Raw genomic sequence first — 12,691 nt, 5'->3', positions numbered from 1 at the left:
CGATTTAATGCTCCTTGGAGTTTGATATAAATACTTCAGAAAACTTTTTGATATTTTCTGCTAAATTTAAAGATGCATATACCCTATGGCCAAGCAAGTCCATGCTTGAAAATATATAAAGTTATGTACCCCAGAGAAACTTATAGGAAATGCAACCAAATATATGTAAGCTAGTATTCAAAATATCCAAAAATTGAAAGCAGCCCATACATCTATCTGCATTAAAGTGGATGTGTTGTGTTATGTTCATACAATGAAATAACATAGAGCAATTGTAATCAATGAGCAACACACAATATGAATGAATTTAACAAAAGACATATCGAGAAGAAAATAATCTACCATGTGATCCCACTTCTATTGTATAAAATCAATAAAAACATTACAGCCAGCCCTCTGTAGCCATGAGTTTCACATTCACAGATTCAATCAATGGTTGATGAAAAACTTTTGGGAAAAATATCAATAAAAAATAAAAATACAACAATAAAAAATAGTGCAAATAAAAAATATAGTATATCAACTTTTTACATAGCAATGACATTGTATCAGGTATCAATAATTAACTTAGAAATGACTGAAAGCATATGGGAGAATGTGCATAGGTCATATGAAAATAATGCACCATTTTGTATCAAGGACTTGAGCATCCTTGGATTTCAGTACCCACAGGGTGTCCTGGAACCAATCCCCCATGAATACTGAGGGAAGACTGTATCATTAGGGATACACACAGGGAGGTAACGCAACATAAAGAAACCATGAGATTGACTGATGTAGATGTTCAGGACAGTGATTACCTTTAGTGAGAGGAAGGATGTTGCGATGAAGAAATAGCACAAAAGGGTGTGTGTGCTGTATTCTCATCAAGGCCGACTTTATGGCTGCAACCAGCACCATTGCACAAAGCCCACTCTTAGAAGACCCTGTGTTTGGTTTAATGCTCTGCCTCTGTCATCTTGAAATTCTTTTTTTTTTTTTTTTTTTTTTTGAGATAGAGTTTCGCTCTTTTTGCCCAGGCTGGAGTGCAATGGCACGATCTCCACTCACCGCAACCTCCACCTCCTGGGTTCAAGCAATTCTCCTGCCTCAGCCTCCCAAGCAACTGGGATTACAGGCATGCACCACCACGCCTGGCTAAATTTTTGTATTTTTTTAGTAGAGACGGGGTTTCTCCATGTTGGTCAGGCTGGTCTCCAACTCCCGACCTCAGATGATTCGCCTGCCTCGGCCTCCCAAAATGCTGGGATTACAGGCATGAGCCACCGCGCCTGGTCAAAATTTTTCATAATTTTTTAATAAGGGGCCTTGCACTCTCATTTTGCACTGAGTTCCATAAATAACATAGCCATTCTTGATTTTCATTACAGGATATTTGCTGTATAAACTTGCCCTTAGTGTTCTGTGCACTTTTAAGGAGTATGTGTTATATTTAATAAAAGAAAATCATTAGAAAAACACTATGAAAAAACTATTTAAAGCAGAGGGGTTGTGGGTTAGGCCACTGATATGGTGCCAGTAATGATGTTCTCTAAACTGTGCTGAAAATTTTATCAGGGTAACTCTCACTAGTCTTTCCTCAGTAAGGGACTCAGGGGCAAATTGAATTGTTTTCCAACCTCTACCAGCCTGTGAGCTACTCTCTTCATCTGAATCAAGTCAATTCTCAACCCACAATTTTTATGTATTAAGTCCATTCTGGAAGAAAGTGGGGAGAAAGGACAAATAAATAAATCATTGACAAAATGTAAATCATGACATCCCTAAGAGAAGACAGAGATGGAGAACCCTGCAGACTACTCTGGCCACCATTACCCAAGTTAACTTATTGCACCTGGAAAGGTTCAGCATGGATGAGTCTGAGAAAGTGAGTCACTGAACACATAGCTTTCCCCAAAGTGGAAAGAAAAGAGCTGAGGACAGCCAGCTTTAGACAGCGGAGAAGCACTGAAGGTACCTGGCACATGCACCGCCCCCAGGAGAATCCCAAGAGAATTGTGGAGAGACACAGAAATGTCTAATCTAACACTGCAGGACAGGGATAGGGATGGGGCTGGAAGTCTCAGCACCCTAGGATGTAGAGGTGTAAGAACTTCTGTATTCACCATCAACCTCCCAGGTTTCTCACTAGTGAAGAGGGGCACGCCCTCTTCACTTTCAAGGTTAGGCAGCCAGGGCGGGTCCCAGCTTGAGCTTAGGCCATATCTCCTCTTGGGATTCACATGTGGCCAAGGGCTATGGCAGGGTGGTGGTGCAGTAGCCTTGCCTCTGTCTGCGTGAGCTGAACCGAGTTGGGATGGAGCTAAATTGACATCCCTTTCTACTCTCCCCATTTGGGGGTTCTTCAGGAACAGATGGAGAGACATCAGCCTTACACTCGGTTTTCTCCAGAGTTGTCTTAATATCTTCCCCAAGGCTTGTCCCCAGCAAATGAAAGCAGAAAACTGTCATAAAAGTGTATATGTAGGTCTCTGGCTTTTTAGAAACTTCCCCTTGCTAGGTTATAAACCCTTCAAAGGCTGGGTTTTTTCTTCTTGACTCAAGCTTATAGAGCAGAGCCTGCTTCCTAATGAAGGATCCTTACAGTGGAGGAGGAGGGACCCAGCACTGGTCCAAGTGTCACCCTCGAGGAGCTGCGGGAGGTGGGCAAGGCATGAAACCCCTTTGCAACTATTTTCCAAATACTGGGAATCAACAAGCAATCTCTCTCTAAGTGCCTTCCCATCCCAGAACTTGGGTCAGAAAGCTTTCCAGATCTGCTTTTCTACAAATGCCTGGGAAGGCTTGAAAAGGACGAGGAGTCACAACTAAACGTGAATGAAGGATCACGAACTACTGTGTGTGTACATGTGCCTCTTCGTGTATGTGCACGTGTGTATGTACGTGTGTGTGCACATAGGTGTGTACACATGTGTGCGTGTGTATGCAAGTGTGCACATGTGTGTACGTGTGGGTGTGTGAATGTATGTGTACGTGTGTGTGAAATGCAAAAAGAAAGAAAAGAAAATCTGCTCAAATAGAACAGGCTGGAGGTCTCCCTTGGGAGGCAGCGAATTTAACTCGCTGTGGATCTGGCTGTGAAGAAGAGTGAAGCCCTGGGAGTGCAGCATGAGGAGGAGGAAAATAAAGTAAAACAGGGAACTCTGCTATTTTAACAGTTTATAAAATTTTGTCTTTAAAACCTTTTGTGACTCTAAAAACAATTTCTGAGGAAGGAGGCTGCTGAGTGTCGGGAAATGTTTAGTGAGCTGAGGGCCAGAGACCTTGCTTCCCACCCCCTCAATTATACCTCCCTGGCCACCAAGGACAGGCTTGGGTTTAGGAGGAATAATCTTAATGCTAACAGCGGCAATTCACTACGTAATAAAATGTAACGCCGCGTTCCCTCCAGCCTCTGAGAGGCCTCTGTGGAATCCACACTCAATCACCTACTGCTAAGGGCCGCCTGAGCTGTGGGTGAGAAGAGACCTCCTAGATGGGCCTTCAGGTTCTTACTGATTTATGACATGGGCGAGTGGATTAACTGCGTTGCTTCCATTTTGTCAACAGTAAAAAGGAGATAATGGTCCATTCCTCACAGGTTTTAATAGGAATGAGTCAATACTCATAAAGGGTTTTATGAGGAATGAGTCAATACTCATAAAGGGTTTAAAATGGCACCTGCACATAGCGTACTTTGGCCAGCTGTGTGTCCTGAACTAAAGTTCTTAAACCATGACCCCCTCATTTCCCACATTTGTAAAGTGAGGGTTCCCGCTCAGCCCTCAGTCACCACCGGCTTCCTCACATCCGGCCCCACCCAGGGGCACCGCGAGGGCAATCAGCTACTGCCACGTCACCCCCACCCACAGGCAGGCACAGCCAACAGGGGCACCGGGGGGCACACAGCCACACCAACCCAGCCACGGGCGGGCACAGCCAGCACGGGCACCAGGGGCCGCACAAATAGCCCCAAGCAGGTGTCAGCCTATTTCCCTTCCATTTTCATGATACAGTGGAAACTAAAAAGGGAAACTCAGAAAACCATCCCGCCAAAAAGGAAAAGCACACGTTAAGATGGTTTGAAGTCATGTCCAAAACCCTTCAATTCACTAAACCTCAGTCTTCTCATCTTGTAAAATGGGATTAAGTAAATGACAATGGTTCTCTCACGGGGTGGCTGTAGAGATTAAATAAGATAATGTAGGTTGTAAAGCTCCCTGTGGCTGGCACCATATGTGCCTCTGATAGAACATGCTCTTATTGTCGTGGTTATCATCATCATCATGCCAGATACTGATTGGAATGTCCATACCATCTCTTGCTACCAAATTATCAGCTTTTCGAGGGCAAGGACTGTGTCTTCCTCATTCTGATATCCATCACACTACCCTACATCGTATAGTAACTGGTTAAAATTATGCTGTAATCTCACTAAGTTGAATAGTATATTTAGATAATTTGTCCTATTGGTTCTCAGCTCTGACCGTACATTTAAATCACTTTGACCAGCTTATAAAGTACCTGTGACAGTTCTTTACCCCAAGCCAATTAAGTCTGAATTTCTAGGGGAAGTTTTCAGGCATCAATATTATATAAAAGCTCCCCAGAGGACTCTAAAGTGCGGCCAGAGCTGAGAACCAGTGTGCCTGTTACTCACTCCCTGTTCATCCATTTATTACTGACTACTAGGTACCAGGTACGGCTGTGGGCAACGAAGACAAAAACATAAACCAGACGATGCTCACTCTCACAACCTGCAGTGAACTATGCATAAGTTCTTCGTTAATAAATTATCACAGCATGGGTGTGAGTCCTGAGACGGAATCGTGTACACGGGGGACTACACCTGCTAAAGGAGAACACAAAGTACCTTTACAGAAAGAGAGATTTTCAAATAAGGGAGAGGATTAGGGAAAATGAACTTCCATTAATGGATTTTCATGATTATGCCTTCAAAGTTTATCCAAGATCATTGTTATGAGACACATCCATGTGGGGTCTGTTTATGAAATAAACACATTCCATTGTATGACATGTACATGTCATTGTATGAAATATAGAAATATGTTCGTGGAATGATCCACTAAAGGATTCTTATAAGAAACTTCTTTCAGAGCTGCTTCTTTGCTCCACAGAAGTACCATTTCCTCCTTTCCAGCACTGTGACTTACCAAACTTGTTTCCCTACTCACCTTGAACTCCAGAAATCTTATAGACACAGTTCTGCTCATTAGTGATTGTTGTGTTTAAACTATGGATAAACTATGAGAAGTTTTTTTTTTTTCTTTTGGACCACTGCTCTTAGTTTTGAAATTACTTCAAATTCTCTGTTTTGACATGATGGAGAGAAAACAAATACTAATTATTTCAAATAATGAATCCAAATGTCCTTGCTCTATAATTCCTTCACAAAAAAAGCATCTATGCTTTGTATTTCTTTTTTTTATTTTATTATTATTATACTTTAAGTTTTAGGGTACATGTGCACAATGTGCAAGTTAGTTACATATATATACATGTGCCACGCTGGTGTGCTGCACCCATTAACTTGTCATTTAGCATTAGGTATATCTCCTAAAGCTATAGCTCCCCCGTTCCCCCACCCCACAACAATCCCCAGAGTGTGATGTTCCCCTTCCTGTGTGCATGCGTTCTCATTGTTCAATTCCCACCTATGAGTGAGAAAATGCGGTGTTTGGTTTTTTGTTCTTGCAATAGTTTACTGAGAATGATGATTTCCAATTTCATCCATGTCCCTACAAAACAAAGGACATGAACTCATCATTTTTTATGGCTGCATAGTATTCCATGGTGTATATGCGACACATTTTCTTAATCCAGTCTATCATTGTTGGACATTTGGGTTGGTTCCAAGTCTTTGCTATTGTGAATAATGCCGCAATAAACATACGTGTGCATGTATCTTTATAGCAGCATGATTTATAGTCCTTTGGGTATATACCCAGTAACGGGATGGCTGAGTCAAATGGTATTTCTAGTTCTAGATCCCTGAGGAATCGCCACACTGACTTCCACAAGGGTTGAACTAGTTTACAGTCCCACCAACAGTGTAAAAGTGTTCCTATTTCTCCACATCCTCTCCAGCACCTGTTGTTTCCTGACCAGAAGGAAATAAAGGGTATTCAATTAGGAAAAGAGGAAGCCAAATTGTCCCTGTTTGCAGATGACATGATTGTATATCTAGAAAACCCTATTGTCTCAGCCCAAAATCTCCTTAAGCTGATAAGCAACTTCAACAAAGTCTCAGCATACAAAATCAATGTACAAAAATCACAAGCAACCTTATACATCAATAACAGACAAACAGAGAGCCAAATCATGAGTGAACTCCCATTCACGATTGCTTCAAAGAGAATAAAATACCTAGGAATCCAACTTACAAGGGATATGAAGGACCTCTTCAAGGAGAACTACAAACCACTGCTCAATGAAATAAAAGAGGATACAAACAAATGGAAGAACATTCCATGCTCATGGGGAGGAAGAATCAATATCATGAAAATGGCCATACTGCCCAAGGTAATTTATAGATTCAATGTCATCCCCATCAAGCTACCAATGACTTTCTTCACAGAATTGGAAAAAACCACTTTAAAGTTCATATGGAACCAAAAAAGAGCCCGCATCGCCAAGTCAATCCTAAGCCAAAAGAACAAAGCTGGAGGGATCACGCTACCTGACTTCAAACTATACTACAAGGCTACAGTAACCAAAACAGCATGGTCCTGGTACCAAAACAGAGATATAGATCAATGGAAGAGAACAGAGCCCTCAGAAATAACACCACATATCTACAACTATCTGATCTTTGACAAACCTGACAAAAACAAGCAATGGGGAAAGGATTCCCTATTTAATAAATGGTGCTGTGAAAACTGGCTAGCCATATGTAGAAAGCTGAAACTGGATCCCTTCCTTACACCTTATACAAAAATTAATTCAAGATGGATTAAAGACTTAAATGTTAGACCTAAAACCATAAAAACCCTAGAAGAAAACCTAGGCATTACCATTCAGGACATAGGCATGGGCAAGGACTTCATGTCTAAAACACCAAAAGCAATGGCAACAAAAGCCAAAATTGACAAATAGGATCTAATTAAACTCAAGAGCTTCTGCACAGCAAAAGAAACTACCATCAGAGTGAACAGGCAACCTACAAAATGGGAGAAAATTTTTGCAACCTACTCATCTGACAAAGGGCTAATATCCAGAATCTACAATGAACTCAAACAAATTTACAAGAAAAAAACAAACAACCCCATCAAAAAGTGGGTGAAGGACATGAACAGACACTTCTCAAAAGAAGACATTTGTGCAACCAAAAAACACATGAAAAAATATGCTTTGCATTTCTTACTTAAGCTGGGTTAGAAATGGAGAAGGGGTAACATAGATTTATTAAATCCTTATCATATGTCAAGCAGTTTGTAATTTGCTTTATTTATATGATTTAAATTGTTTATTTTAATAATCCCGTGATTGTGGTACTAACCTCCCATTTTAGAAAGGCAGAAGAAAAATGAAATTCAGATACGGTGGGGTCAGACAATTATGAGTAGCCCAACAAGGGGTTCAATGATATCTGTCTTAATGTGGGATCTGTTATATTTCCAATTAGTGCCTCTTCTCTCAAGGTTTGCTGTTTGGTCATCAAATATTTCAAATCCCCTCCAGCGATGTTTCAAATGCAAACCCTGAGTCTCAGCCATTTCCCATCATGTAAGTGCACTCCTTAATTTAATAAATTAAATCTATTGCCAAATGAGGCACATCCAGGGCACTTGGTGTGATAAAGAGATGAATCATAAATGGATTCTGCCCTTAAGGGAATTTATAAACTATTAGAGGGAGGAAAACACACATATGATAATTAAAACTTGTGCAGCAGTACAGCTCTATCCAAGACAAGGAACAGCTGAGGCTTTCTCCTCTGCTCCGCATCATGCTGGGAGGCAGCTGTCAGGCAATCCCCATGCAAGTGGCTGTTGGGGCAGGAGCAGGCACTGAGATGGAGCCAGGGAGAATCAGGAATTGGAGCCAAAGAGAGAAAACACTCACAGTGCCCAGTAGGACATCTAGAACTGTAATGTGCACAGCAATCTGACTAAAGGGCCGCTTATGATTCCCCAGGCCTGAGGTGGGCCTGAAATTCTGTGATTCTAACAAACTCATACAAGAGGCCTGGGCTGATATTTCAAGAACCACATTTTGAGTAGCAAAGGTCAACATTTTAAGTTCAATAGTGTGAGTGTGGAGCTGGGAACAAGCCAGCAGCCTGCAGGTCATGGAGGGACACACAAGTAGGCAAAGACAAAGATGAAGTGGAGGTCAGAGGGCTCCCATTCACACCAACCGGCTGGCCATGACACCACAAATTCACTGTTATTCCTCTGTGTCCACTAAAAGGTGGGTGGAGGAGCCAGTTTAAAGCATGCAATGATGGGACAGGTCATCATTCAGGGCTTCATTTAAAATAATTAGTCCAAAAAACTGGAAATGGAGCTATTACAAGAAACTCAGTGATTCTGGCCTCAGTAAGAAACAAGAGATTCGGGACCAAGTTAACACATATCCATTATTATTTTGGAGCAGTTGAATTTTGTTCATCTCTTCAGCTTGTTGGTTGTCTGTTTCCATAGTGGTGGTTGTAGGTTTGTCTTGATTTATTTTTGGTCATGGTGGAGTTTGGAGATGTCAGTTACATTCGGGCAACAGAGAGACCTCGTAGCTAATGTTGTGGAAGGGGCTAACACAAATCTATTCTGAGTGAAAGAGTTGAATCAAAAGTGCTGTGTAAATACAACCTAAGTATTAGTCATTGGGGTTTTTTTTAGAACATAAATTGGACAGTTAAGAGTGCCCCCTGTTTGTAAGAGAAAAAAATACCCTATGAAGTACAATATTAATTCAATACCAAAAGTGCTATTGCTTATTTAGCATTAACACAAATATGACTAATTTCTGGCTTACGTCTTACTGAGTGTTGGAATTTTGAATTTCAATTTTGAATTTGTCTCCTTTACTGTTTGCTTTATACTAGAGCATGTGGTTTGACCGATTTTCAAAAGGAACTTGACTTTTGAGTTCTGAATCATAACATGAAAGTGACAGCCACAATAATTTGACAAAATAGTCCCTCACACAAACTTCACACCCTGTCATCTAGTATAGACTTCCAAAACTTCAGCCATTTCCCCCAGAGAGCTCTGGAAGTGGAAGCCAAGGGTACATAGATGTTAAAAAATGAAGTCCCAGCTGTTCTGGGCCAGTCTTGCTTTCTGGGTGAGTACTAGGCATACAAAGTAAACAGTTACTAGGATTTTAATAATCTGAGGAGAAAATTTGGCCATCAAGTTTAGTTCTTTGTTCCAGGAAAATAATAGAATCAGGTGCTTGTGAACAAAGAAAGGCTGCCTAGCTAGTTCCAGAAGGATGAGCCATTTGAATCCATGGTAAAAGAAGAGCTAGAAATCAAGTTCACCTGAAGAAAGGATCCAGGAATTCATTCCAAAATCCAAGTGGGAGACATTCTGCCCATGTACGCTTTGGGGTCTCGACAACTTGGTTAATGTGAATACTATGCCACTTAAACCATCTTCTATGCCCCTAAACATATGATGGAGTAGGGCATGTGAATGGAGGTGGAGGTGAAACCTACTAGAAGATGAAGAACACTGCAATACTGCAGTTGCAATACTCTATGGATATATAAGATCTAACATCTACATAAGAGACACATGGGGAGGCTGAGGAAGAACTGGGACCTGGCTCAGCCTGGTGCAGAGCAGCCTAGGGAGGAGACAGTGGTACAACTTCATGTGGCAGGAATTAATTCTCAAGGTCTGAAGAGAGGACTCTCACAGGACATAGTCTAAGAGACATAAAAGAATGGGATTGGATTGTTTCTTTTGGTGTTTCAAGTTCACTGCAGAGTGTTACGAGATGATTTCTGAAAAAACCCCACAGATGTTGTAGTGGCAGCTGGAGAGCCTGCAATCGTGGAGTGCCAGCCTCCCCAGGGACACCCAGAACCCACCATCTACTGGAAAAAAGACAAAGTTCGAATTCATGACAAGGAAGAAACAATAAGTATCCGTGGTGGAAAACGGATGATCTCCAATACCAGGAAAAGTGATGCAGGGATGTATACTTGTATTGGTACCAATATGGTGGGAGAAAGGGACAGTGACCCAGGAGAGTTGACTGTTTTCGGTAAAACTTTCTTCTAAATTATAAATTTTTATTTTTATCAATTTTTCTTTGCTTTTAAGTGTTACTAACATTAAAAACTGGGCCATATGAGGACAGTTACTCATGACTCATGGTAAGCAGTGACAAATTAGAATTATCTTGTTTTTGGGGCGGAGCCAAGATGGCTGAATAGGAACAGCTCCAGTCTACAGCTCCCAGTGTGAGCGATGCAGAAGATGGGTGATTTCTGCATTTCCAACTGAGGTACCGGGTTCATCTCACTAGGAAGTGCCAGACAGTGGGTATAGGACAGTGGGTGCAGCGCACCGTGTGTGAGCCGAAGCAGGGCGAGGCTTCTCACCCGGGAAGTGCAAGGGGTCAGGGAATTCCCTTTCCTAGTCAAAGAAAGGGGTGACAGACGGCACCTGGAAAATCGGGTCGCTCTCACCCTAATACTGCGCTCTTCCAACGGGCTTAACAAACGGCACACCAGGAGATTGTATCCTGCACCTGGCTCGGAGGGTCCTATGCCCACAGAGCCTTACTCATTGCTAGCACAGCAGTCTGAGATCAAACTGCAAGGCAGCAGCGAGGCTGGGGGAGGGGCGCCTGCCATTGCCCAGGCTTGAGCAGGTAAACAAAGCGGCCAGGAAACTTGAATTGGGTGGAGCCCACCACAGCTCAAGGAGGCCTGCCTGCCTCTGTAGGCTCTACCTCTAGGGGCAGGGCACAGACAAACAAAAGATAGCAATAACCTCTGCAGACTTAAATGTCCCTGTCTGGCAGCTTTGAAGAGAGTAGTGTTTCTCCCAGCACACAGCTTGAGATCTGAGAACTGGCAGACTGCCTCCTCAAGTGGGTCCCTAATCCCCAAGTAGCCTAACTGGGAGGCAGCCCTCAGTAGGGGCAGAATGACACCTCACACGGCCGGGTACTCTTCTGAGACAAAACTTCCAGAGGAACGATCAGGCAGCAGCATTTGCGGTTCACCAATATCCGCTGTTCTGCAGCCACCGCTGCTGATACTCAGGCAAACAGGGTCTGGGGTGGACCTCCAGTAAACTCCAACAGACCTGCAGCTGAGGGTCCTGACTATTAGAAGGAAAACTAACAAACAGAAAGGACATCCATACCAAAAACCCATCTGTACATCACCATCATCAAAGACCAAAAGTAGATAAAACCACAAAGATGGGGAAAAAACAGAGCCGAAAAACCAGAAACTCTAAAAATCAGAGCACCTCTCCTCCTCCAAAGGAACGCAGCTCCCCACCAGCAACAGAACAAGGCTGGACGGAGAATGACTTTGACGAGTTGAGAGAAGAAGGCTTCAGAAGATCAAACTACTCTGAGCTAAAGGAAGAAGTTCGAACCAAAGGCAAAGAAGTTAAAAACTTTGAAAAAAAAATTAGACGAATGAATAACTAGAATAACCAATGCAGAGAAGTCCTTAAAGGACCTGATGGAGCTGAAAACCATGGCACAAGAACTACGTGACAAATGCACAAGCCTCAGTAACCGATGCAATCAACTGGAAGAAAGGGTATCAGCGATGGAAGATGAAATGAATGAAATGAAGCATGAAGAGAAGTTTAGAGAAAAAAGAATAAAAAGAAACGAACAAAGCCTCAAAGAAATATGGGACTATGTGAAAAGACCAAATCTGCATCTGATTGGTGTACCTGAAAGTGACAGGGAGAATGGAACCAAGTTGGAAAACACTCTGCAGGATATTATCCAGGAGAACTTCCCCAATCTAGCAAGGCAGGCCAACATTCAAACTCAGGAAATACAGAGAATGCCACAAAGATACTCCTTGAGAAGAGCAACTCCAAGACACATAATTGTCAGATTCACCAAAGTTGAAATGAAGGAAAAAATGTTAAGGGCAGCCAGAGAGTAAGGTCAGGTTACCCACAAAGGGAAGCCCATCAGACTAACAGCTCATCTCTCAGCAGAAACTCTACAAGCCAGAAGAGAGTGGGGACCAATATTCAACATTCTTCAAGAAAAGAATTTTCAACCCAGAATTTCATACGCAGCCAAACTAAGCTTCATAAGGGAAGGAGAAATAAAATACTTTACAGACAAGCAAATGCTGAGAGATTTTGTCACCACCAGGCCTGCCCTAAAAGAGCTCCTGAAGGAAGCACTAAACATGGAAAGGAAAAACCAGTACCAGCCACTGCAAAAACATGCCGAATTGTAAAGACCATCGAGGCTAGGAAGAAACTGCATCAACTAATGAGCAAAATAACCAGCGAACATCATAATGACAGGATCAAATTCACACATAACAATACTAAACTTAAATGTAAATGGGCTAAATGCTCCAATTAAAAGGCACAGACTGGCAAATTGGATAAAGAGTCAAGACCCATCAGTGTGCTGTATTCAGGAAACCCATCTCACGTGCAGAGACACACATAGGCTCAAAATAAAAGGATGGAGGAAGATCTACCAAGCAAATGGAAAACGAAAAAAAGGCAGGGGT

The 12,691-nt window shown here is 42.2% G+C and overlaps 1 pseudogene; it reads left to right on the top strand.

Moving 5' to 3' along the window:
• Nucleotides 9,940–10,216, top strand: ROBO2P1 (roundabout guidance receptor 2 pseudogene 1; annotated as a pseudogene).

The sequence above is a fragment of the Homo sapiens genome, chromosome 7, assembly GCF_000001405.40.
Source record: "Homo sapiens chromosome 7, GRCh38.p14 Primary Assembly".
Classification (NCBI taxonomy): domain Eukaryota; kingdom Metazoa; phylum Chordata; class Mammalia; order Primates; family Hominidae; genus Homo; species Homo sapiens.
This window is presented reverse-complemented; position numbering and strand designations above follow the sequence as displayed.